We start from the raw sequence: 25,442 nt of genomic DNA, 5'->3' as shown, positions 1-25,442 counted from the left end.
ATATTTAGAAAAATAGGCCAGGTGAGGTGGCTTAAGCCTGTAATCCCAGCACTTTGGGAGGCCGAGGCGGGCGGATCATGAGGTCAGGAGATTGAGACCATCCTGGCTAACACAGTCAAACCCTGTCTCTATTAAAAATACGAAAAAAAAAAATTAGCCGGGAGTGGTGGCAGGCGCCTGTAGTCCCAGCTACTCAGGAGGCTGAGGCAGGAGAATGGTGTGAACCTGGGAGGCGGAGCTTGCAGTGGGCCTAGATGGCGCCACTGCACTCCAGCCTGGGTTACAGAGCAAGACTCCATCTGGAGAAAAAAAAAAAAAAAAAGGAAAGAAAAATAAATGACACAAAAATTTTCACCAGTCTGTTGTTAGGAGGAAAAAGCAGAGTGGAGAAAAAAAAATCTGGAAGGAAATAGACTAACATGTTACCAGTAATCCTCTTTGGGTAATATGATTATAAATAGTTTTAATTTTTATGTTTCTTTTCATACTTGTAGACTTTTTCCAAATTTTGTACAGCACATATAACTTTTTTTTAAAGCCAGCATGCAAGTTCTTTAGCTTTCCCAATATCAGCATAAGCAAACAGCATAAAATTATCCTATCATTCTGGTTCAACAAAGAAAATAAATATCTGGCCTTGTTGCCTTGGGTCTCTCCAGACAAACTTCGTCATTTGATACAGAGAAAGAATATTGCAGATTTGCCAACTTCCCACTTGTGGAACTTTTTTCCTTGAGAAGTTCATGTAACAACCAAAATATCCCGGTGGGAAAAAAATCCAATGACCTGACTGTTTTGTCTACATAACGACAAATCTCTCAAAGTTTCTAAATACACTTGAACTCATTTTTAAACACTGGGATCACTTCTCTAAGAAACCAGTTTGGAGAGACAATCTAATTAACAAACATGGATCTTAAAGATTAAACTGGAAAACTCCTAACTTACCCTAAAACTACCGCTAGAAAATTAAAAGATTTTTATATGGCTGTGTTTCAAATGGCTCTGAAGGTTACGAGTTTTAAAGTCATGATCTCACCGCAATAATTAATACCAAAATGCTGAGAATATAAAATATTATTTAAATATACGTGTGTGCAAATTTATATGTACACACTCATATCATACATATACAATACCGACGCTGGTATGTGGAAATATTTATTTTTATACCCTAGGAAGATTCAAGAAACATTTTTGATAGTCTGATATTGTATGTACTAAGCACTAGAAGTGGGGTGGATTTTTAACCTTCCATATGTACATAAATAATTATCAAAATAATGGCACCAAATCAATTAAACGGGACAGACTGAGCAATTGCCATGTTGATCTAGACTGGTTCTCTTCCCCTCCTCTTCATCTGAGGAGCTCCTCACTTCTTCCAGATCCTTAACTGGGTTTCATCTTTCTCTGTGCTGGTCCTGTGTCAGGTGGGATAAGGGCTCTTGGGCCTAGCTTGGCAATCTTGCTGTGGGCTTCACAGCCACATTTGGCTAATTCACACCTATCCCAATGAGACTGAAGAAAGACGGGCAGAGATATGTCAACAGGAATGAAAGAAGAATGTTTCCATCACACCATTTTATATGTGGGCTGATTCCCAAACCACACTGTCATTTCATTACTAATGCAAATGTCTTGGGAATAGCATAAAAACACTGCATTATATCTCTTTTGCTAAAATTTTGATTTGTTAAACATGAACATTAAAATTATACCATAGACAGCCATGTAGAGGCCTGTGGACTTATTGCACCCTATTTATCCAGCAATGCTCAATCCTCAATTAGCATAACCACGACAGACCCACCTCCTCTGTGGTACCCTGACTCCCTGTGTCCCATCCCCCACCTCACCTGTAGCAAAATACTCAGCATATTCCTTCAGGGCCAGGAATTCCCTTTGTGATCAGCATATAAACTCAGCTTTTAAAATTTCATGTTATTTCTTTATTTCAAAAGCTCTGTTTGTCTTGGTTTTTTTTATTTCATTTTTTGAGATGGAGTCTTGCTCTGTCACCTAGGCTAGAATGCAATGGCGTGATCTCAGCTCACTGCAACTTTTGCCTCCCAGGTTCAAGCGATTCTCCTGCCCTGGCCTTCTGAGTAGCTAGGGTTACAGGTGCCTGCTGCCATGCCCGGCTAATTTTGTATTTTTAGTAGAGATGGGGTGTCACCATTTTGGCCAGGCTAGTTTCGAACTCCTGACCTCAGGTGATCTGCCCACCTTGGCCTCCCAAAGTGCTGGGATTACAGGGCTGAGCCACTGTGCCTGGCCTGGTTTTATTCTTTGACAACCCAGAAGTGGTAAAATTGGTAGTGTGTGGCCTCTCTCCACTTCTGAGAGGCCCTGTCCTGGACCACATCCCTCAGTGCTTCACAAGGTTGTCACCATGTCCAGCCTCAGTCTGCTTCCCTGACCACCTCTACCAAATGTTAAAAAGTCTCCTTCTCCATCACCACACCCCATCCTCTCCTGCAGCACCACAATCTGATGTTACACATTTGTCTCTTCACTGGGCTGCTGCCTTCTAACTCCATCATGGCTGGGGATTCAGACTATTTTGTTTACCAATGAGTCCCAGCACCTAGCCCAGCGCCTATGTCTTCTATCTTAGCGTCTGGCCTTGAATAGTAATGATAATAAAATAATAGTCGCTAGGCCGGGTGCAGGGGCTCACGCCTATAATCCCAACACTTTGGGAGGCCAAGGTGAGCGGATCACTTCGGGTCAGGAGTTCAAGACCAGCCTGACCAACATGGTGAGACCCCGTCTCTTCTAAAAATACAAAAATTAGGCGGGCATAGTGGCAGGTGCCTGTAATCCCAGCTACTCGGGAGGCTGAGGCAGGAGGATCACTTGAACCTGGGAGGTGGAGCTTGCAGTGAGCCGAGATTGCGCCACTGCACTCCAACCTGGGTGACAGAGCAAGACTCCATCTCAAAATAATAATAATAATAATAATAATCACTAGACTAAAAACGCTGGATATGCATTCTGTACCAGGCACTATATGGAGCACTTCTGTCTGCTATAAATATGTTGTCACCATTTTCAGACAAGAAAAAGAGAGACCTTTTTGGAATTTACTTGGCCAATGTAATACTAAACCTCTTACCTGTCTGGATGCTAGTGATAATTTGATTTCTAGTTTAAAATGAAAGGCAAGGTGTGGTGTGTTGGTTTTCAATATATTTCCCTTGCCCCATTCCTTTTTCCAATTATTTTCCGTTTTGTGATGTGTTTTCAATTTTTCCTGTACATAACTTAGAAAATTACAATGCTTGTCAAATTACAATGCTAATTTGTATAGATTTAAACATTGCAGCCAAGGCCAACTATCTTAATTTTCTGGAGGTAAAGATGCACAGATATTTATGCACAACTCAGCCTGATTTTTTGCCTTCAATTAAAGTGTTTCATTTAGACAAGTATTTATTTCTTATGGTAAATAACCAGACAAAATCTATTCTCTCCACAGAATGACATGATGGATTGTATCACCTACTCTCCTCTGGATGCCACTTACATAGACATATGCTGTCCAGGACAGTGGCTACATATGGCTATAGATGCTTGAAAATGTGGCTCATTTGAATTGAGATGTTCTGGAAGCAAGTACAAAATACACACCAGACCTTGAAGACTTAATAGGAAAAAAAGTCTGTAAAATATCTCATTAATGTTTTCAATAGTGATTACATATTAAAATGATAATATTACAGATGTATTGGTATAAATAAAACATATTAAAATTAGTTTCATCCATCTCTATTTTTTAATGTGGCTACTAGAAGATATTAAATTTAAAATGACATATGAGGCTTGTAGTCATGGCTCACATTATATTTCTATTGTATAGCATGGAAACAGATGTTTACCCGAAGTTTTGTAGGTGTGTGATGTTGAAAACTATCGCAGTAATAGAATTTAATTTAGTCTCGGTTAGGAAATGGACCTGAAATCGGAGGCCCTAATTAGCATTTACATGAGGAACACCTGGAAGAATGGAAAGGCTGACATGGCTACTTTGAGAAAAGCAGAGCCAGGGACTTACATTTTGGGAGATCAACGTGGAACCTGGAGTAAGGTGCTTTCTTACCAGATTTGTACTTATTTCGTCACCATAAAGTGAAGCTTCTGTCTAATCCTTTATGCTAGGAAGAGCAAAGAGTTTTCTGTTGTATCAAAAGGTTTTTATTAATAGTTCCTAATTCCCACTGATGTCTAACACTGAGAATTTTTATTATAGAAATGATATTAAAACTAACATTTTAAACTGTGATTGTCACAGGTTAAGTTTACCCACCGAGCTTCCTTTGCTTCATTTAGTAGCTTTGCTCTAACTCATTTTTTCAGTTAAAGAGTTTTAAGGCCTTCTTTATGTTTGTAATACATCTTGAGACCAGGGGCAGAATGTTACGGACTGAAAGTTTCTGTCCCTCTAAATTCCTAGGTTGAAGCTGTAAGCATAGGGTAATGGTCTTTGGAAGTGGGGCCTCTGAAGGTAATTAGGTTTAGATGAGGTCACGAGGGTGGGGTCTTCATGATGGGATCTGTGCCCTTATCAGAAGAAACCGGGCCAGGCACTGTGCCTCACGCCTGTAATCCCAGCCCTTTGGGAGGCAGAGGCAGGTGGATCACTTGAGGTCAGGAGTCTGAGATCAGCCTGGCCAACATGGTGAAACCCCATCTCTACTAAAAATACAAAAATTAGCCGGGTGTGGTGGCCTATGCCTGAAGTCCCAGCTACTGGAAAGGGTGAGGCAGGAGAATTGCTTGAATCCAGGAGGCAGAGGTTGCAGTGAACCAAGATAGTGCCACTGCACTTTAGCCTGGGCAACAGAGCAAGACTCCATCTAAAAAAAAAAAAAAAAAAAAAAAAGAAGAAGACGAAGAAAGAAGAAGATGATGAAGAAGAAGAGGAAGAGAAAGAAGATGACAAAGACGAAGAAGAAGGAGAAGGAGAAGAAGAAACCAGAGCAGTAGCTCTCTCTCTGTCTTTCTCCCCAACCACCCCCGCCGAACTACCTTGTGAGGATATAATGAGAGGTCAGCAGTCTGCAAGCCAGAAAGAGGGCCCTTACCAGCACCCAGACATTTTGTTACTGTAGGTAGCTAGTCAGGCATGAGCAGGGCAGGAGAGGGCCCCCGCCTCATCAGGAATGTCAGGCCACTATCATATGATGGTCAGGCGGTTATTGAACAGTCTTTGTAAAGTAATAATTGGTTGCAGCCAGTGCCAGGGAAAGGCAGTCTCCCAAGAAATGAAAACACCTGAAGGTGGTGAGCAGCATCTTCCCGATAAGATCTCAGGAGTTGGGAGAGTGGGCTCAAGCATGCACATTAAGAGGCAAAATGGCGGAGTTTAACTGGTATATGACCTTCCAGGGACATTCCAAGTGTAAAGGAAGAATGTCTCAAGTGAACACGTATACAACTCCAGTGAACACACTGCGCATGCTCCCCTCTCAAGCGCCGGCAGGCCACTGCGCATGCGGACAGCCCACCCCAAGGGAAGAATCAGGAGAGAAGGGACCCTAGACCCCAGAAGTATGCCAACGTATAAAAACCCTAAGTTAAAGGTGAAACGAGGCACTTGCCTTTCAAGTTGCCCGCTTGGCCCTCTTCCAAGTGTACTTTCCTTCCTTTCATTCCTGCTCTAAAGCTTTCTCATAAAATTTCACTCCTGCTCTAAAACTTGCCTTGGTCTCTCCTTCAGCCTTCTGCCCCTCAGTTGAATTCTTTCTTCAGAGGAGGCAAGAACTGAGGTTTCTGCAGACCCACACGGATTCACCACCAGGAACAATTTGGCACCCTGATCTTGGACTTTCCAGCCTCCAGAACTGTGAGAAGTAAGTGCCTGTTTAAGCCACTCAGTCTATGGTATTTTGTGATGGCAGCCCAAGCAGACTAAGACAGACGCCAACAGCTTCATTCCAGAAAACAACGCACATGTGGATTTTGTTCCATCATACACGTCAGTTATTTAACACCTCAACTTTCCTGTTTAGAGGTGTCAGCAAACATATGGCCACAGTGTATATGTCTTAGGTGGACTCTCACAGGTGCCCACTCCTGTGTTAGCTACATTTATACCCTGAGCATGGCACTAGGAATTTACATACACTATCTCAAAGCGTGTGAATCTACATACATAAAGTTCAGAACAGGCAGAACCAAAATACAGCACTTGGAATAAGTATTTAGATGATAAATCCATTTTAAAAAGCAAGGAAATGATTATTAGAAGTCAGATTCTAGTTTCTTTCAGGGAAAAGAAAGGGGATTGTGGCTGAGACAGATGCAAGGGTGACTTCTGGGTGCTAGCAGTGTGCTGTTCCTTGACCCGAATGGTCTTTATGTGGGTATTCAGCTAATAAGCCATTAAATGCTACATTTGTTAATTCACTTTTCCATATTAGTGCCACATTTAATAATAGTATATGTTTTAAGAAGAGCCATTTTAACTAGACTTTATCCCACAGCAATACAAGGATGGTTAAATAGTTTAAAAATAAATTAATTTGCTACCGTGACTGACTAAAGAATGTATGATTTTCTTAAAATAGATACAGACTAAATAAATGATAACATTAACATCCAGTCATTAAGTAGAACAATGACAGTAATATTAGGGAGTGAAACTCCCTAAACTGATGAGGACAATTATTAAAACTCTACAGAAAAAATCATACTTAATAAAATGTTAAAATATTTCCTTTAACTTCAGTAATGAGACAAAAATACATACTATTACTGCTTTTATTTAGCATTGCCCTGAAGTGCTGGTGATATGGTTTGGCTGTGTCCCCACCCAAATCTCATCTTGAATTGTAGCTCCCATAATTCCTATGTGTTGTGGGAGGGACTCGGTGGGAGATAGTTGAATCATGGGGGTGGTTTCTTGTGGTACTGAATAAGGCTCATGAGATCTGATGTTTTATAAGGGGTTTCCCCTTTCATTTGGGTCTCTTTCCCTCTTGCCTGCCACCATGTAAGATGTCCCTTGCTCTTTTGCCATGATTGTGAGGCCTCCCCAGCCACGTAGAACTGTGAGTCCATTAAACCTCTTTTTCTTCATAAATTATCGAGTCTTGGGTATGTCATTATCAGTAGCAGGAAAACAGATTAATACAGCTGGTCAGCACAGTAATACAAGGGAAAAAAGGCATAAAGATTAGAAAGGAAGAAAAACTATTCACTGACAATGTGACTAGTTACATAAAAAAATCTAAGAGTATCTACAAACTGTTAAATAAGAAAATTCAATAATATTGCTTGACCCAACATCAAAAATTAAAAATCAGTAGCATTTCTGTGTACCATCCATGTGTTTATACTTCAACAACAAGCAGTTAACCTACCTATATGTTCAGTGCAATACCAATTAACATCCCACAGAAATCTTTGATGGACCTTTGACATGCAGATGCTAAAATTCAACCAGAAGAGCAAAGAGGAAAGAATACCTGTCATAAATTTAAAGAATAATAATAATAGGGATAACTGTTCTATCTTCTACTTGTCCTACCAGACATAGATTTAATATAAACATAGTGATCAAAACAGTGTGGTATTGGTGGAGGGACAAAAAAATATTGGACCAATGGAATAGAGAGTTTACAAATAGATCCACATATGAATGGTATACACGTTTGCAGCTATAACACTGCAAAACATTAGAATCTACAATGAACTCAAACAAATTTATAAGAAAAAAACAAACAACCCCATCAAAAAGTGGGCAAAGGACATGAACAGACACTTCTCAAAAGAAGACATTTTTGCAGCCAAAAAACACATGAAAAAATGCTCACCATCACTGGCTATCATAGAAATGCGAATCAAAACCACAATGAGATACCATCTCTCACCAGTTAGAATGGCAATCATTAAAAAGTCAGGAAACAACAGGTGCTGGAGAGGATGTGGAGAAATAGGAACACTTTTACACTGTTGGTGGGACTGTAAACTAGTTCAACCATTGTGGAAGTCAGTGTGGCGATTCCTCAGGGATCTAGAACTAGAAATACCATTTGACCCAGCCATCCCATTACTGGGTATATACCCAAAGGATTATGAATCATGCTGCTATAAAGACACATGCACACGTATGTTTATTGCGGCACTATTCACAATAGCAAAGACTTGGAACCAACCCAAATATCCAACAACGATAGACTGGATTAAGAAAATGTGGCACATATACACCATGGAATACTATGCAGCCATAAAAAATGACGAGTTCATGTCCTTTGTAGGGACATGGATGAAACTGGAAATCATCATTCTCAGTAAACTATCGCAAGAACAAAAAACCAAACACCGCATATTCTCACTCATAGGTGGGAACTGAACAATGAGAACACATGGACACAGGAAGGGGAACATCACACTCTGGGGACTGTTGTGGGGTGGGGGGAGGCGGGAGGGATAGCTTTAGGAGATATACCTAATGCTAAATGACGAGTTAATGGGTGCAGCACACCAGCATGGCACATGTATACATATGTAACTAACCTGCACATTGTGCACATGTACCCTAAAACTTAAAGTATAATAATAATAAAATAAAAAAAAGAAAAAAAAGAAGGAAAGAATATACTATTTGATTGAAAATGTTGGGACGATTTGTCATCTACATGGAAAAAGATAAAAGTAGATCTCATAATTCAGAAAATAATTACAGGATTAAGAGATCTAACTGTAAAAGAGCTAAACTATGAAACTTTTTTTAAATGTAGGAGAACATTCCTATAATCCCAGGAAAGGAAAAAAAAATTTTGACAAGGTACAAAAGACAAAATGTCAAAACAAAATCAGTTTGAGATTATAGTGAAAACAGTATTATACATTAAGGCACCAATAACTCAAAGATAAACCAAAGATTGGAATAAAATATTTGCTATACACTTTAATGACAAAAGTTTTGTATCCAAATATATAAATAACTTCTAATTAATTAGCAACAAAAAGGCAAAGTTCACAATAGATAAACAGACAGAAAGTTGCACTATGCAGTTCACACTGAAGGAAATATAAAGGGCCAATTAAAAAAGAAAAAAGTTTACAAACTCACTGGTCAAAACAAGATCTCATTTCACACCATTAACATCTAAGCACACCAAGCTTTGCCAAAGACATAGGGAAACAGGCACTCTGGTACATTGTTGGTACAACCCTTTTGCAGATGAACTTGTCAATTCCTAATATATTTAAATTTGTTTTCTCTACGAACCACTTAGGAATTCAAATTCTAGTTGTCACAGTGGTGCATATACCAAAATATGCATTGCAACTTTATAAAATGAAAATATAAAGACAAGCTTACTTTGTTTAGGGAGATGGAAAAATGAATCATACTTTATATAACTAGATACTATGCAGCAGCTATTACTACAAATACATCATATCTATATGTACCAACATGGATAAAATCCAAAAACATAATATGGAGTGATAAAAAGCAAGCTCCAATAGATACGTGTAATGTGAAACTATTTATCACATATGAAAGACCACAAAACAATAATACTTATTTTTTACGGAGAACAGACACACACACACAAAACTGTGCAGGGAAATTACATACATAAACTTTTTGGGATGGAAGAGGGAGTAAAGAATGTGTGTATGACTTTCTGTATTCAGATTTTTTTTTTCCTAAAGGTAGAAATCTGAGAACAAACAAGTCAAAGTATATTAATACTTGCTTAATCTCAGGGATAGATAAGTTGGTGTCTGTTCCATTACTTTTTGTTTTCTAATTTAACTGAAAGTGCTTAAATTTGAAAATGAAGCCCGGTGAGAAGGCATCCTCCCCAAATGTAGGTGTTTTTCACGTTTTGACATTTGCTTCTCATATTGCTGCCCTGTCTGGAATGCTAAGGCAAGAAGAAGGATAAACCATGATATCTTAATGTGTGAACATCACCTTATCCAGAAATCAAAGAAGGGGCTTTCTATACCTCCACTCCCAGGTCTATTGCCTGAGACAACAACAAGGTGCCGCCCTATTTCAAGTGGGTGAGCTGGGCCCTGACAGCTATAAAACCTGGGGATGCGCTGGGCAGCCAGCCTGGAACTGGATGCCTGTGCAAAGTAGCAGAGGTATTTAATTCTCGGCACATCAGTCCAAATTGTGTGGGTGGACAGTTCCACCCCGTCTAAACAAACTTAGCATGTAGAGTCAACACCGCTGCTATTTCCCTGTTTTGAGAAATGCTAAAGTAAAACTGAATAAATTGGAGCGAAACACATCCTTAACTGGAGTAGAACAAAAATAATAAAATATAATGGCTCCAAAGTTACATTTAGCTCTCACTTATACATTGTTTGGCCCACACTATGTTTTTGTAAAGTTTTGGCTTAGTTGCTAATATTTAGAATTTGAGAAGTTTCTAATAAAAACTGGATTCCCAACTTCTCTCTTGAAGTGATGCTGGCACAATTGGGCTTGAATTCTAGCATGCTAACAACTAGGTTCTGAAGAGTCTCTCTTACCCCATTGCCTTACTCCTTACTTCACCTGCTGGCCCCACTGGGGTTTCAACTCTCATTTTACACATGAGAAAACTGAGGCTCAGAGTGGTCAACAGCCTTGCCCAACAGCAGAGTTTCTCTGTGAAGGGAGCCATGTTGGTGCACATTGCCCGATTATCAGTGAACGTTGTGATTCCTTTTTCTACAAGATGAAGGCACATTTCATTATTTTACTGGCATATTTTCTCTCTAACCCAGCAGGTACACTGGAAATGATAATCCTGAAAACTTGTTAATGAAAGACTTACTTCAAGTGATGAGAAAAACAATACAAATGGATTAATTTCAGCAAGAAGTCACCAAGATTTGGCCAAACTCAAAACAGAAAAGTTTACATGTAAAAATAACAAAGGAATGTAACAACAGAATTGAAAATGGTATAACTAGAGTTTGCATGGTCCCCAAGCATTACTTTTTCAGGCTGATCCTCACATAAGTACAATTCTTCCACCCCTTCCCAATCTCATTCCTGTTCTTCTAAATTCAGAAACATGTGCAAACCCTGCTCTGGATCTCTTCTCCAGGCTTCCCCACAACACACATTTCCTTTAGGATTTTGCTTTTTTGGATTTATTTGTCCTGGTTAAAGCTGGTAGATAATCCCCACTGAGTTTTATCTATCATGCCTAGTAGCATTTAAATACCTGGTCTGGGAATTCCTAATGTATGCAAAGTGCATTTTTGTTAGAACCAGCTACACAAACAGATTACATAGATTACAAATGTCCTTTAGAATGTGAAACAGTGAATAATCTAAATGTAAACTGATAGGGAAATGGTTCAATTAACTTTGGCATATTGTGAAATACTGTGCAACAAAGCAAAAAGAAAAACAGGAGGATCTTAAATACTGACATGGACTGGTCTACAGGTTGCAAAGGAATACAGCACAGTATCATTTATGTTAAAAGGCCAACAAAAACATACATATATGTTTGTGGGTTCATATGTGTGTGTGTAAATTCATGGACAATGTTTGGAAAACTACATGAAATATGAAAGTGGTGAAAGTGGACACCTCTTGGAAGACAAGGAAATGGGGAGAGGTATGGGGGGTGTCAGAGAGGGCTTTAGTTTCACCTATAATGTCTGCAATGTCTTCATTTAATTTAAATAGGAAAAACATATAGAACCTATATGTGACCATAGGTTCTAAAATTCTTTTCATGTAACATATATAAATATTTATGTGACCGTTAATTTCCAATCATAATCTCAATGATAACATTTGTAAAAACATCTGCTCATCCTTGGAAATGAAATTTCCTATGCCACGTTATCACCCAAATCAACTTTTTAAAGTGTAAAAATAACAAGTATCTGAAAAGTTAAAGTTTACTTTCACAAGGTAAAATCAAGTGAGTCAACTCTAGGAGGCACAATCGTTTTGAGGACAATCAATTTCTATTTAATGGCAAAGAATAAGAAATATGGGATGGATTTAAATAAATCCAGTTTCACTCAAATTCCAAGTCAAAAATCAAATCAAAGTGTCAGATTGCTTAAATGATTCTAACCTGAGTTCGATTTCTAAGGTGCTCTTAATTTTTCAGTGATAGCATTTGCTTTTCCCAACAATAGCAAAGGAAAACTGGAGGGCAAGTTTTGCAAGGAAGAAACTGAGCCCCAGAGAGGTCAGGGTTTAGTGTGACGTCCCAGCTAGGAAGTGGCGGCTGGGACTCCCTGCAGGTGTCTCCTGCCAGCCCTCTGTGCGCTGGGCCAAGCTGCTTGATTTGATTCACCAGCGTGACACCGTGCATCTCCACATCCGGTGTTCTCACGTATCATCCCTGGCGATTATCTATGTGTCTATTTTTTAATTTACTGACCTCTGGAGGCCTGTCCCCGCCATCCCTGACTCCTAGGCACTGGACAAGCCCCCTCCTCGCCTCTTCCCCCAGCCCCGCGCATTCCACCTGTTCCGGGGCATCCCCGCTTGCTCCCTTCCGCTCGCTGCCTGTCCCGGGACCTGCGTGAAGCCCTCAGCCTCGCCACTAGCCCGGCAGCCGCTCCACTACCGCGCCGCTGCGGGTGGGGCCAGCGCGTCCCCCGGACGCGTGGAGGAGGGATGGAAGTGCGGGGGTGGGGGTCGCGCAGCCCCCACTCACCTTGCTGGCTGCGGGCGCCGCCGCCAGGAGCACCAGCAGGAGCGGCAGCAGGAGCACCTGCGGCCTGGGGGCGGTCCGGGCGCTCATGGTGGGCGCGCGCTCAGAGCCTGGGCGAGTCCGGGGACCCTCAGGCTCTCAGGCCACCGCGTCTCCTGCGCAGCGCGGCTCTGGGAGCCCGGCTGGAAAGCTCGCCTCGCCACTCGGCCGGGGCGGGTTTTGTAGGGCTCGGTCGCGCGGTTCGTCCCTCCCCACCCAGGCTTTTTGGTTGTGGCTTCAAGGGAGGGAAGACGTGGCTCAGGTCCCGCCCTCATACCCCCTCCCTCCCAACTTACCAGGCAGTGTCCCTTCTACCCGGGCATCGTGCCCAGGAGGCGAGAAAGGGCTGGGCGCCTGAGGGGCAGGTGGGCGCGGATCCAGGGTAAGGGGTTAAGGAGGTGATGCTCCCAAGGTCCGGGGGCCCAGGCGGGGAAGTGGGGTGCGGTCGGAGGTGGGGCGTTTGGGGGTGTGCGGTGGGGAGGTGGCTGCGCGGTGGGGAGGTGGCTGCGCAGGGTGGAGGGAGTGGCCAGCGGCCCTGCCCAGATTAAGCGGGAGGCGCGCCGGGCGTCTGCACTCGGGAGGCCCCGCTTGTTCCCCGCGCCCGCGGCGGTCCGCGTTCCCCGCCTCCAGCCCGCCTCCAACTTGCGGCCGCCGGGCTTGGCTGCGAGAGCGCCGCGAAGAGGCAGCGGGGCGCGGGTGGATTGGGGCTGGAGGTGCGCGTCCCGTGGGGTGGCAAGGCGGCAGCTCCTGGCGCTGCGGGCGTCCCCACAGGTAAGGCGCCCATAGGTGGGGCAACCGCTGTCCCGGGGCCCCGGCACCTGCCTGGGAGGGGCAGTGGAGGGAGCGTGGCATTCAAGGGGTGGTGGCGGGCCCAGCTGGGGAGTTGTGGCCCGGGGGTCACCAGAGGAGAGCGCGTCTGGCTCCTGGGCTTGTCTGCCTGGGCTTTAACTGGGTGCTGTGTGTTTTGATTAATTTGGAGGCTCGAGTTACCGGCCTGGCAGTCGGGGCACTCCAAAATGCCAAGAGAAAGAGGCAGCTGAGGAGAAAGAGAAAGCCCATCTTATTCTCCGCTGAGTTGAACTGCTTTTCAGGCCAAATCTTATCTGCGGAAATGCAGGGCAAAACAAGACTCAGCTCTGGTCAGGGTGCGCTCTTCCTGGGGGTGGCCTGCGATGCAAATGTGCCAGGGCACGGTCCTCCAGCCGGCTCTCGCCGTTTCCTGTGCTACGGACCACACTGGCTCTGGTAAAGCAATTAGACTGTTTCTCAGAAGAATGTTGTGAAATGCATAAAATACAATTAAATCAGAATCAGTTTTATTGGAATGCAATTATGGAAGTCCTCAAGTCGTGATATAGTAACTAACACAGGTGCATCATCATTATTGCATTAAATAGCTTGATTTAACAGCAGGCCGATTAAGCAACAGTAATGTCAAAGTAGTGATGTCTGCAAATGGTATTTTGAGATAATAGCCCAAACTGAAATGTGACATGAAAATACCGGTGGGTGCAAATTATCAAGAACTGCCAATACTACTGTGCTCTGTTGCCTGTGCTCATAAGGGAAGGACATGTTGAACTTCTGTGACATGTTACTAAAAGTAAAGATGCAACTTATTTTCCTATGTGAGTTTCCTATACAGATCACCTGAATTCCATCCTCAGGTTAAGAATCTTTGCTTTGGAACAGTGTTGCTGATATTTGCTGCAATTGGCTTCAGACACCAAGTATGATCATGCAGTTGGTCACTGATTTTAGGGAACCACTTGCTTGCAGTTAAATTTGGGATCTATTGGTATCTTAGAACTTTGTAGCCATGCAGGTAGGCAAAACCCTAACAGTGAATGAAGACACTCCTCCCATTCTTTTTATTTTGACTATAGCATGAATCTTACAGTCTTCTTTCTGTCTTTTATGCCAGTGATTCTCAACTATCGTTGTGCATTAGAATCTTTGGGAGGATAAAACAATGTTGCTACCCAGACCATTCCAAGCCAATTTTATCAGACTCTCTAGCTGTTTTAAAATTTCCTGTACATTCCCATGCACAATCAAGTATGAGAGCTCCTGTTTTCACGAACATGTGAAAATTTCACGCACATGTTGAATTAGGATATATTCTTAGTAGAATAATAAAAAGCACATATATTAAACTCTTCATTACAACTTGGGAACACTGCGGAATTTATGACCATATCGCAGATGTTGCTGTGTGGTATGCAGTAGCTTCTTTCCATTGGTAGGGAAGGTTCTTCTGGAAACTTCTGCCACTCTTGTGGAATGAAACGGTAGGTGTTCTGTTGATGAGGTGACAGTGTCCAAGAGTTCTGAGAGTCACATGATTATGTTTCACAAACTGACAGTATTTAATTTTAAAAAGTACAAACAAAAAAATCTCAATGCTAATGTTAAATGCTTCTCTTTGCCAAATTCCAGAAGATTCCTCAATTTGAATTTTAATTGCCTTTTCCTGAAACCAAGTCATTTTGTTGGAGGACTAGACTTGGTTTTATCAATTTTGGAACAGGAAGTAATAGTCAACTGCAAGTCATTTCTGTTGCAGATACAGAGCTGGAAAGAAACTTGTGATGTAAATACAGCAAGAAAGAGGCAATGCTGGAGAGCTTGACCTCTGGAGTAGACTCTGGAGTTTTGAATCCTTTCCATACTTACTAGTGTGACCTAACCTCTCTGGGCTGGAGTCTTCCTTCTATAAAATAGACATACTCACCATACCCACCTCAGGGAGTTGTTGGAATCTAATGAGATAGCAAAAACCCTTTGTGCAGAATCTTCACACAGTAGTCACATAGTGAAATTTGATTCTTTTTTTTTTTTTGTACAAAGGAAAATAGGTGGCCCTGATGAGAAATGGTGGCACGTGGTAGAGATGCTCTTCTGAGCTCAGTACTAAAATGGCTGGAGGCAAGCATAGCCTATGAACTCCCTTGAGGTTAATACACTTCCAAGGCCTCTAGAACCTTGCCTTGGCATCCCTTGGGACCAGCAGCATTGGCCTCCCTGGGAGCTTGCTGGAAATGTAGAGTCTCTGGTCTCACTCTGGATCCACTGAATCAGATCCCACATTCACCAAGATCTCCAGGTGATTCGTATGCACCTGGTACTTAAAACTCTGAGAAGTTGCTTATCTAAAAGCCACATTTAACCACCTATTCCCCACCTGCCACATTTAGAACAATGTTTGACAGGCTCACCTGTCAAACAAACAGGTGGTGTTAATTAACTGGAAGGCTTGATTGTTAAAAAAATTGTCTTTGGGTCAAGAGAGTTGATTTTTCACAGTTGGTTCTTTAAATGTAAAACAGCAAGAGGAAAGGAGGATGGTTCTTTTCGTACATTCAAAGGACACAGAGGTCTCTATTTTTTTACTTTGATGCCATGTAGGAGTTTTAAACAAAATGAGTGGTTATTGTCTTTGACAAGTCCTATGTAATTTGTTTTCACAGTATCATGTCCGTTTTCTACACACTGTTTAAATAGTTGTGTCTGCTTCACTACATTTCAATGTAAGCCCCATTAGGGCAGGGGCCATTTTTGTGTTCTTTACTGATGTTGAATGAATGAGTGAGGCTGTTACTGTTTCCTGAATGAATTAATGAAAGCACAAATGAAGTTGAATGACTTGTCAAATTCACCCAGCATTCACACTTAGTCTGGTTTCTTCCTAAGTTCATGATCTACCTCTAGCCTTCATTGTAGAGGGACGAGCCTCTACTTTTAATGAGATACAAGATACACCTCTTATGCTGCCCACAGCTGCTTCATTAATCTTGTTTCATTTCATCTCCCCTCTTAGCCATCCTTTTCCTTTTAAGAACTTTCTCTTTTCCATACCTCTGAAACAATTAGGCTCTTGGGTGCTTTTAGAATCTGAGTGATTACCAACTCATATCATTTCTTGCCATTGCATCTCTGGACTCCTCTTCTGCTTCTCTAAGTTCGTGGCTCCTGCCTTGCACTATCATCTGTGGATTATGGTAGCTATCTAGCTAGTTTTCTGTCCTGCAGGCTTTCTACTCTGAAACTCATCTTCTATGTAATTATCAGAGTTACCAATTAAAATTGCAAATTATGCTAGCAAGGACAGGTGACTTTAGAGGCAGTTACAAACAATCCCCCCAGTCCAGAGGCTTATCATTATGGAAGTTTTCTTATCATTTCTACTACATATTCATCACGGGACATGGGGAGGTGGGAATGGGGTGGGGGTCCTCTGTTTATTGTAGCCACTCAGGGACCTCCTGGAAATTCCCTCTCAACATCTTCTCTAATCACCTCAGAAGGGGAAGAGAATGTGCTAAAGTAAAACTACCCTTCAACCTTCCTCCTAGATGTGACACAGGCTACTTCTACTCACATTTCACTGGCTAAGTGGATCACGTGATCATGCTTTATTCTGTAAGGGGCAGGGAAATGAAATCTACCACATGCCTGGAAAGAGTGGGAAACAGGTGGCAAATGTCAGTAATACTCATCACACACATCGTGCCACTTGTTTGTTTAAAAGCTTCCAGAAGTTCCCCTTTAACTTCACAACTGATTTCACATTTCTTGGAATAGAATAGTGTGGTCTCAAGTCAACATTTTTGTTTTATCTCTTGTGTCATCCCAAGCTTTTTATGATTTCTCTGGTTCACTATACAGACTTCCTCACCTCACACCTTCGTATTTACTATTGCCTCTGCCCACAGGGACCTCCTTCTTGGTCTGTCTTCTACAACTACCTGTGCTTTAAGATCTAGGTCAAGGATTAAAGAGCATGGTCCCTGTGAACACCTTTGTCCAGAACTTTATTATATAGCACAGAAATAATATGTGGTGATTTGTTGTTCTATATTACAAAGCCTTTGAGGGAATGTTCAGAGATTATTTGTTAAGTGTATTAGTCTGTTCTCATACTGCCATGAAGAATCACCTGAGACTGGGTAATTTATAAAGAAAAGAGGCTTAATTGACTCACAATTCTGCATGGCTGGGGAGGCCTCAGGAAACTTACAATCATGGTGGAAGGCACCTCTTCACAGGGCAGCAGGAGAGAGAATGAGTGCTGAGCGAAGGGGGAAGCCCCTTGTAAAACCATCAGATCTCATGAGAACTCACTCAGTATCATGAGAATAGCATGTGGGAAACCACCCCCATGATTCAATTACCTCCCACTGGGTCCCTCCCATGACATATGGGGATTATGTGATTACAATTCAAGATGAGATTTAGGTGGGGACACAAAGTCAAACCATATCATTAGGGAATCTAAAAAGTATATTTCTTGAGGTATAATCTATGTTCCATAAATTGCATCCACTTAAAGCATGGAATTAAAAAAGTTTTGCCGATGCATCCACCCTATGAAACCACCACTGCCCATCAAGCTGCAGTATTTTTCTATCACTCCCAGAAGTTTCTTTCTGCCTCTTTGCTATCCATCCCTCTTTCCAAACCCCATCCTCAGACCACTACTGATCTGCTTTCTGTCACTGTAGACTTCATTTTAGTTGGCATTTTCTAGAATTTTGTGTTGACGGAATTATACCGTGTATACTATCTTACATCTGGCTTCTCTGACTCTGCATAGCAATATTCAGATTCATCCATGTTGTGTAGATTAGGAGTTTGTTATTTTCTATTGCTGAGTAGTAGTCCATTGTGTGGAGATCACACTTTGAAAAAAAGTCCATTTACCTATTTTTGGGAATTTGGATTGTTTCCAGTTTGGGGCTACTACAAATCAAGCTACTATGAATATTTTTCTACAAGTCTTTTTGTGGGCATGCATTTTCATTTCTCTTAAGTAAATACCTAGGAATGAAATGGTTAGGTCATATGGTAGATGTACATTTAATTATAAAAGAAATAGTTTTCCAAAGTGGTTTTATTCTACCTTCTCAATGCAAGGTAGAATACCATGCATAGGAGTTCCAGTTGCTCCATATATTTATTTTGCTGTTAATTTTTTAATTTTAGCCATCCTAATGTTTATACAGAAGTATCCCAGAGTGGTTTGCATTTCTCCAATAACTAACGATGTTGAATATCTTTTAATGTACTTATTGAACATTCATGTAGCTTCTTTTGTGAAGTGCCTATTCAAATCTTTTTTCCGCTTAAAATTTGGCTTTTTATCTTCTTATTGTTGAATAGTAAGAGTTATTTATATATTGTGGATACAAGATCAATGTTAGATACAAGTATTGTGAGTATTTTCTCCCATTCTGAGAATTGTCTTTTCATTTTCTTATTATTTTTAAGAAGCAAAAGTTTTTATTTTGATGGAATATAATTTATAATTTTTTTCTTTTGTGATTTGTGCTTTTCTTGTTACCTGAGAACTCTATACCTATGCCAAAATTGCAGAAATTTTCTCCTATGTTTTCTTCTTGTGTAGTATTGTTACTTTTACCTCAATGATCTCTTTTAAGTTAATTTCTGGGTATGGTATGAGATAAGGATTCATTAAATTTTTTTTCCATGTGAATATCCACTTGTTGTGGCACCAGTTGTTGAAAAGACTTTTTCCCCCACTAAATTGCCATGATTGCCATGGCACCTTTGTGAAAAATCAATTGATCATCATGTTTGAGTCTTTTGGTTCCATTTATCTACATGTCTATTCATTTACCATCATTCTTATGACTAGTTTTTTAGCAAGACTAGTGTAAGTCCTTCAACTTTGTTGCTTTTTATAAAAATTGCTTAGGCTATTCTAGGTCATTTGCATTTACATATATATGGATTTTATTTGTTAATATTATGTTAAGGAGAGTCATGTTTATATTCACAAGATATATTGTTCTGTAGTTTTCCTGTAATATCTTTGTCAGTTTTGGTATCTGAATAATGCTAGCCTCATAAAATAAGTTGGCCAGCACTCTCTTTTTTTCTATATTCAGAAAGAGGATATAAAAAAACTGGTATTATTTTTTCATTAAATGTTTGATAGAATTCACTAGTAAAGCCACCTAGCCCTGAAGTTTTCTTTGGGGAAGGTTTTTACTTACAAAATTCATTAATTATAAATTTAATTGCTATAGGGCCATTTAAATTTTCTATTGTTTCTTATGTCAGTTTTGATAATTGATGTCTTTCACAAAATTATTTATTTCCTCTACATTGTTAAATTTATTGACATATAATTATAAGAAGATTCTCTAATTATCTTTTTAATCCCCTTTGTCATTTAATACTGTCATATTGTCATTTTTAATATTCCCAAGTTTTCAGGTTTATCAGTTGTATACAGAACCAACTACTAATGTTGGGTTTCATTGATTTTTCTCTACTGTTTGAATGCTTTCTCCTTGGTTAATTTCCTCTTTAATATTTATTATTTTCTTCATTTTGCTTCAGGTTTAATTTGTTCTTTTCCTAGTTTTCTAAGATAGAAGCTTAGGTAATTGATTCTTGATTTTTTTCTTTTCTAATAGGAAATTTTATACCTAGAAGATCCTTTTCTGCACTGGGTTAGTTGCATCCTATAAATTTTGATATGTTGTGTTTTTATTATCATTCAGCTCAAAACATTTTCTGATTTCTTCCTTGACTCATGGGTTATTTGGAAGTGTGCTGTTTAATTTCCAAATATTTGGGACTTTCCTAGATGGCTTACCATTGAATTCTAGTGTAATTATCTGCAAGATTTCAGTCTTTTGAAATGTGTTGAAACTTGTTTTATGATCCAGCATATGATCTATTTTGGTGGATATGCCATGTCCATTTGAAAAGAATATATACTATTATGGCTTGGTATAGTGTCCTAGTATATATTAAATTAAGTAAAGATGGTTGATAGTGTTGTTCAGATCTTCTGTGTCTTAACTGGTATTATACTTTGTTCTATCAATAACCAAGAGAAGATTATTAATTCCCAATTATATTTTAGGATTTGTCTATTTTTTCCTTCAATTTTGCAGTTTTTCCTTCATCTAATTTGAAGTTCTGTTGTTAAGCACATATATTAATATTTATAGCTTCCTGCAATATTAATTTTTAAATCATTATCAAGGGTCACTGCCTATCCTGAAGTCTTTTTTATGTGCTGTTAATATATCCATTATAGGTTTCCTATGCTGACTGTTTGTGTGGTATATCTTTTTCCAGTCTTTTATTCTCAGAGTGAATTTATGCTGACTGTGATTCTACCTAGAATTGTCCTTCTGTATATCTCCTTCTAACTAACTGAAAAATTTATCCCTTGTAATTTTTCTCTCCTGATGTTTAAAAGATACTTTATAAGGTACTGTCATAGCTTATTCCTATTTTTTTTTTCCATTTCCCGAGATCTTCCTTCCTTCCTAAATCAAGTCTTATCTGCTTCCTGGGGTCTGCCTGGTGTGCCCTGGTTTTCACTTTTTTTTTTTTTTTAGACGGGGTTTCACTGTGTCACCTAGGTTGGCTGCAGTGGCCTGATCTCCACTCACGCAACCTCTGCCTCCTAGGCTCAAGTGATTCTTCCACCTCAGCCTCCCACGTAGCTGAGAATACAGGCACGTGCAACCCAGCTGGCTAAATTTTTTGTTTTTTTGTAGAGATGTGGTTTCATCATGTTGCCCAGGCTGGTCTCAAACTCCTGGGCTCAAGTGATCCATCCACCCTGGCACCCCAAAGTGCTGGGATTGCAGGTGTGAGCCACCACACCCGGCCGGGTTTTTATGTTTATTGCTTTTTCCCAATGTATTGTGAGCTCTTTTTTTTTTCCTCCATGGCAGATTAGAAAGGAAGGAAAGAAACATTTATTGAGCTGCTCCTACATGCCAGGCATTGCGGTAGGCACCAAGTCCTACTCATTTAAGTCTGTTAGGTATTAATTTACACACTGAGAAATGAAGTGTTCACAGGGGCTACAAACTTGCTAAGGATTACATGGCGAAGTGTAATTTTTAGTTGCATAATTAATTAATTACTTATATGATGGGAGTCATCAAGATCTGAACACAAATCTTCTTAACTTCAAAGCTCTACTTTTATTCAGTAACCATGAGCACAGAGATAGCAATGGAGGGAGGCAGATGGTTTCCATGTAGGGGCAGTGGCAGCAGAGGTGAGAAGTCATCGAAGGCAAATGCTAGCCTCACATTGTATTTGGGAGTGGACCCTGCCTAGTGGAATTGTTGAGTATTACCGCTGGAGTTCACGCCCAAGGCAATTCCAGGAGGTCTGAAAGGTCCAGAGAATTCAGATAGAGTCTCCAGCCCTACTTATGGGGAAAATCATAAAGCAAAACAAATGTGGGGGATTAGTGGTTTTGGCAAGAGACTTGACAATACTCTGAATCAAGATGTCATTCTTAACTTGGAGGCAAAGGGCTCCTCTGATTTGGAAAGTCAGTTGTATAATTTTGGAACATGTATTACCTTCTTGTGGTTCCGAGAAGTGACATTATTATGGTTGCTGTCAAATTTTCTGTTGATATTGGGAGGAGACCTCAAGGGGAAAATGATAATAAAAGCCTATATTGCCAGATGGTGGGTGAACTGAGATCTGGTCCAATTGCACTAACAAACTCAACTCCAGTGTCAACTGAGGACTCTGCAGCAGTCTCAAACAGTTCAGCTGAATCTGGAGGGAAGGAAAGGTGGGGGTGGGCTTGGCCATAGTCCAGCACATTCTGATCAAGTTGGAACTCCGAGTCATTCTCAAGAATTTAGTTGAGTAATTGTCCAGTTTTCCTTGCTGCTTCTCAGAAAACATGAAGCTCCATCCACATTCCGGTGGTCCATGGACCACATAGACTCATGACCCACTTTGAAAACCTTGGGATGTGGGATGAGAGTGACTGTTTTGCTAAAGAGCTCAAACCAACCTAAATTCTTTGAAAGTCTGAAGGTAGGGTCAACCCCAAAAGGTGGGATTTTAGAAAGAGCAAAACCAAGTAACCAGCTTGTATGTTGGGAAATGGTTAGGTTGACTCTGAACAGAAAAAAATGTAGCCCTCCAAAGGAGGTGTCCAGGTAGATGGATGTGAATAAGACATGTCATTCTTTTTCTGGGAACACTTTCATGACCTCTGAGATCCTCTGCTTATTTCTCTACAAAAGCTGAATATTCGAGAATTCTGTTTTAGAAAGAGAAATGTATATAGAAACAGGTGTTCAAGCAATCACAAAAATTATTTTGGAAAGAGAGTATTCAGATGGCTCAGTGTCGAAAGGCCAAAAAGGAAAATATGTGCAGTCAGTGAGTTAGTAGTAAATTATTTTACTGAACCAATAAAAAATTATCATTAAACAGAAATCAAAGATTTAATGTTACTTTGGAAGAGGAGAAAACATTTTTAGGCTTCTGTTACCTTTCTGTGACTGGAAGCATCCAATACTCAGTGTTCTGTTTATCTGGTCCCCCAATCTTAGACATTTCTCCTCCCCCATTCGATGAGAACCCCAGCAGGGTGTATTTGTTTTCAAGATTGGGTTGCTGAGAAAATAAATTCCCTGTGGTAGAGATAATGATTTGGAAGATCTCAGATCTTGTTCCCAAACCTGTCATTTGGAAAGCATTGGGCAGAGACTCATAAGAAGTCCCAGGGGAATTGGAGTCCAGGAATTTTCATAAAGGAGTGAAGGGGGGAGAAAAAAGCCTCACGGAATTAGAGGAGGATAACAAAATGGTATTTGCTGAATGTACATGCTGGAAATTACTGCCGCTGGGAAAGAGGTTGTGGATCTTACTTGGGTTGGTGAGCAAGGTGGACTTCAAAGGCCCAGGGTGCTTATGTTCCATTTCCCTCTTGGAAGAGAGGAGGAGGAGGAAGTGAGCTGCTTCTTGTGGTGGTGGAGCTTTGGACCCAGCTGTGAAGGGTGGGGCCATGCCTTCTGTCCAACTGGGCTGCAGAGGTCAGTTTGCTCAAGTAAATTGACGTAAGACTTTATGTCAGGAATGGGGCAGCTCTCAGGAGTAAGCTGATCATTTATCCTTTCATGAAACCATCTGTCCTTCTCTTTTTGCATTTTCCTCTTTTGAAACAGGTTTTCATGCTTACTCAGTGTGTCCATTTTCTCTATATTCAGTTTTGCCCTTCACTTTGGCCTGCCTCAGCCATCTAATGTCCAATTCTACGGTCAGGGTATCTCCTGATGCATTTTTCTTTCTTCATCTCTCTCTTTCTCTCCTGTCTCGGTTTCCTAATTTCAACTCTCCTAGAGGAGTGATCCACATTCTGTCTGTACTATCCTCATCCCAGAGTCAGTTCTCTGTCACTCAGCCAAGTTCTGGGTTGGGCTGCTTTGGGTCAGTGGCTTATCTCGAGCCTTTCCGTGTGGCTGGGGAGACAAAATCAGGTGATAGAAAACCTGGTCATGCTTCCACATAGCTGAGCTGAAGGTGGGGCTCTGACACAACTGTAGAGAATGCTCCCTTCTTGAGAATAACAGTTAGCAAAATAATGCCCTTTAAAAGGCACAGCACCTCTGCAGAAGTTTCCTGTAGAGGGAATCTTCTAAAACTGTTGTCTGCAATGTTAGTGCTATAACACTTTGGCTTGTTGCTGTTATGATATGGTTTGGCTGTGTCTCCACCCAAACCTCATTTTAAATTGTAGCTCCCATAATTCCCAAGTCTCCTGAGAGGGACCCAGTGGGAGATAATTGAATCAATGGGGGTGATTTGCCCCATACTGTTCTTGTGGTGGTGAATAAGTCTCATGAGATCTGGTGATTTTATAAGGGATTTTCCTTTTCGCTTGGCTCTCATTCTCTCTTGCCTGCCACCATGTAAGATATAACTTTGCTCCTCATTCACCTTCCATCATGATTGTGAGGCCTCCCTAGCCATGTGGAACTGTGAGTCAATTAACCCCTTTCCTTTACAAATTACCCAGTCTCAGGTGTGTATTTATTAGCAGTGTGAGAACAGACTAAATACAAGTAATTTTTTTTGGTGATAGTGATAGACTCGAACAGAAACACACTGCTTCGTCTATTCCCACATGATGACACCTATTCATTCGTGGGAAGGTAGATGAGTGGAATGCTCTTCTGAGTGATGGGGTATTTTTGTTTGGTGCAGTCAAAAGCTTTGTTGAAACAAAATATTTTGTGCTCTTAACACAGGTGGTTGCAACAAAGAAAACCCTCTTAGATTGTTGCAGACAACATGTGGCTGCACTTTGCGAACTGCAAAGCGCCAGGCACACTGCTGTTTACAGTGTCAGGCCAACAGCAAGATGGAGGCTCTGCTCAGCTGTGATCTAGCAGTTGCATCTTAGGCAGGAGAACAGTCATAAAAGTCTCTGCAACTCTTTTGTGGCTTGTTTTAAGGCCTGCTTCTGGTGAAACAGTGAAAAGGGCAGTTTTTAACCTTTAGCAGCTCATTCAAGACAGAGATCTTCAAACTGAAGCACATGGACCCTTGGGAGACAAAAAGATTCTCAGGAGTTATGCAAGCAACTTGGAAAATTCACTAAAGGATTCCATTTCCAGATTCTCAATTGTCATGTATATCCTTTTGTAGAATTGCTCTATCCAAAAATGGGTGTTTCTTCCAAGTTTTCACTTCCTCTTTCACAATTGCCCTGCTTTTCAAAAGAAAGGCAACCCCTCAACCACCAATTTTTCCCAAATATTACCACCCTGCTTTGTCCCAGGGTGTAAGAACTGTCTGGGGGCTGAATGAGGGCCAGTGCATTGGCTGGTGTCAAGAACAGGAACCTGCCAGCTCCACAACTCCTGGGTCAGGGAGTTTCCAACTTTTTGTTTTCATCATAATGGAGGGAGGACTTGTCAGCCTGGAAATCAT

At 40.9% G+C, this 25,442-nt stretch overlaps 2 protein-coding genes across 36 annotated transcripts in view, besides 5 other annotated features; one reads left to right on the top strand and one right to left on the bottom strand.

Annotated features, from left to right (window-relative positions):
• Positions 1 to 12,846, bottom strand: part of COL4A3 (collagen type IV alpha 3 chain) — a 150,169-nt gene extending 137,323 nt beyond the window's left edge. For all 8 annotated transcript variants that reach the window (XR_001738601.2, NM_000091.5, XM_005246277.4 and 5 more), the window contains exon 1: positions 12,657 to 12,846. Coding sequence is in view for 7 of the 8 variants with exons in the window: in NM_000091.5 (NP_000082.2) it covers positions 12,657 to 12,743 (87 nt within the window). In the remaining variant the exon portion in view is untranslated. The remainder of the gene's footprint in view (positions 1 to 12,656) is intronic.
• Positions 12,613 to 12,792: a silencer, noted in NCBI's record as "silent region_12397". NCBI's record gives its function as "represses an Ori minimal core promoter by ATAC-STARR-seq in GM12878 lymphoblastoid cells {active_cell/tissue: GM12878}" and the evidence as "EXISTENCE:reporter gene assay evidence [ECO:0000049][PMID:35858748]".
• The window catches only part of COL4A4 (collagen type IV alpha 4 chain), a 197,129-nt gene continuing 184,668 nt past the window's right edge, over positions 12,982 to 25,442 (top strand). For 26 of the 28 annotated variants that reach the window (XR_922837.3, XR_001738602.2, XR_007069255.1 and 23 more), the window contains exon 1: positions 13,265 to 13,463. The gene's annotated coding sequence lies outside the window, so the exon portion shown is untranslated. Of the gene's footprint in view, positions 13,075 to 13,264; positions 13,464 to 25,442 lie in introns of those variants that run through there. The other 2 variants (XM_047443228.1, XM_005246281.4) reach the window with 2 other exon arrangements.
• Positions 13,013 to 13,392: a silencer, noted in NCBI's record as "silent region_12396". NCBI's record gives its function as "represses an Ori minimal core promoter by ATAC-STARR-seq in GM12878 lymphoblastoid cells {active_cell/tissue: GM12878}" and the evidence as "EXISTENCE:reporter gene assay evidence [ECO:0000049][PMID:35858748]".
• Positions 13,013 to 13,938: a biological region, named in NCBI's record as "H3K4me1 hESC enhancer GRCh37_chr2:228028248-228029149".
• Positions 13,037 to 13,938: an enhancer, noted in NCBI's record as "H3K4me1 hESC enhancer chr2:228028248-228029149 (GRCh37/hg19 assembly coordinates)". NCBI's record gives its function as "activates a minimal SCP1, AML or CMV promoter by ChIP-STARR-seq in naive H9 embryonic stem cells {active_cell/tissue: H9 hESC(naive)}" and the evidence as "EXISTENCE:reporter gene assay evidence [ECO:0000049][PMID:30033119]".
• Positions 13,663 to 13,762: an enhancer, noted in NCBI's record as "active region_17197". NCBI's record gives its function as "activates an Ori minimal core promoter by ATAC-STARR-seq in GM12878 lymphoblastoid cells {active_cell/tissue: GM12878}" and the evidence as "EXISTENCE:reporter gene assay evidence [ECO:0000049][PMID:35858748]".

Source organism: Homo sapiens, chromosome 2, assembly GCF_000001405.40.
Source record: "Homo sapiens chromosome 2, GRCh38.p14 Primary Assembly".
NCBI lineage: Eukaryota > Metazoa > Chordata > Mammalia > Primates > Hominidae > Homo > Homo sapiens.
The sequence above is the reverse complement of the archived record's forward strand: the minus strand, read 5'-3'. Positions and strand labels throughout refer to the sequence as shown.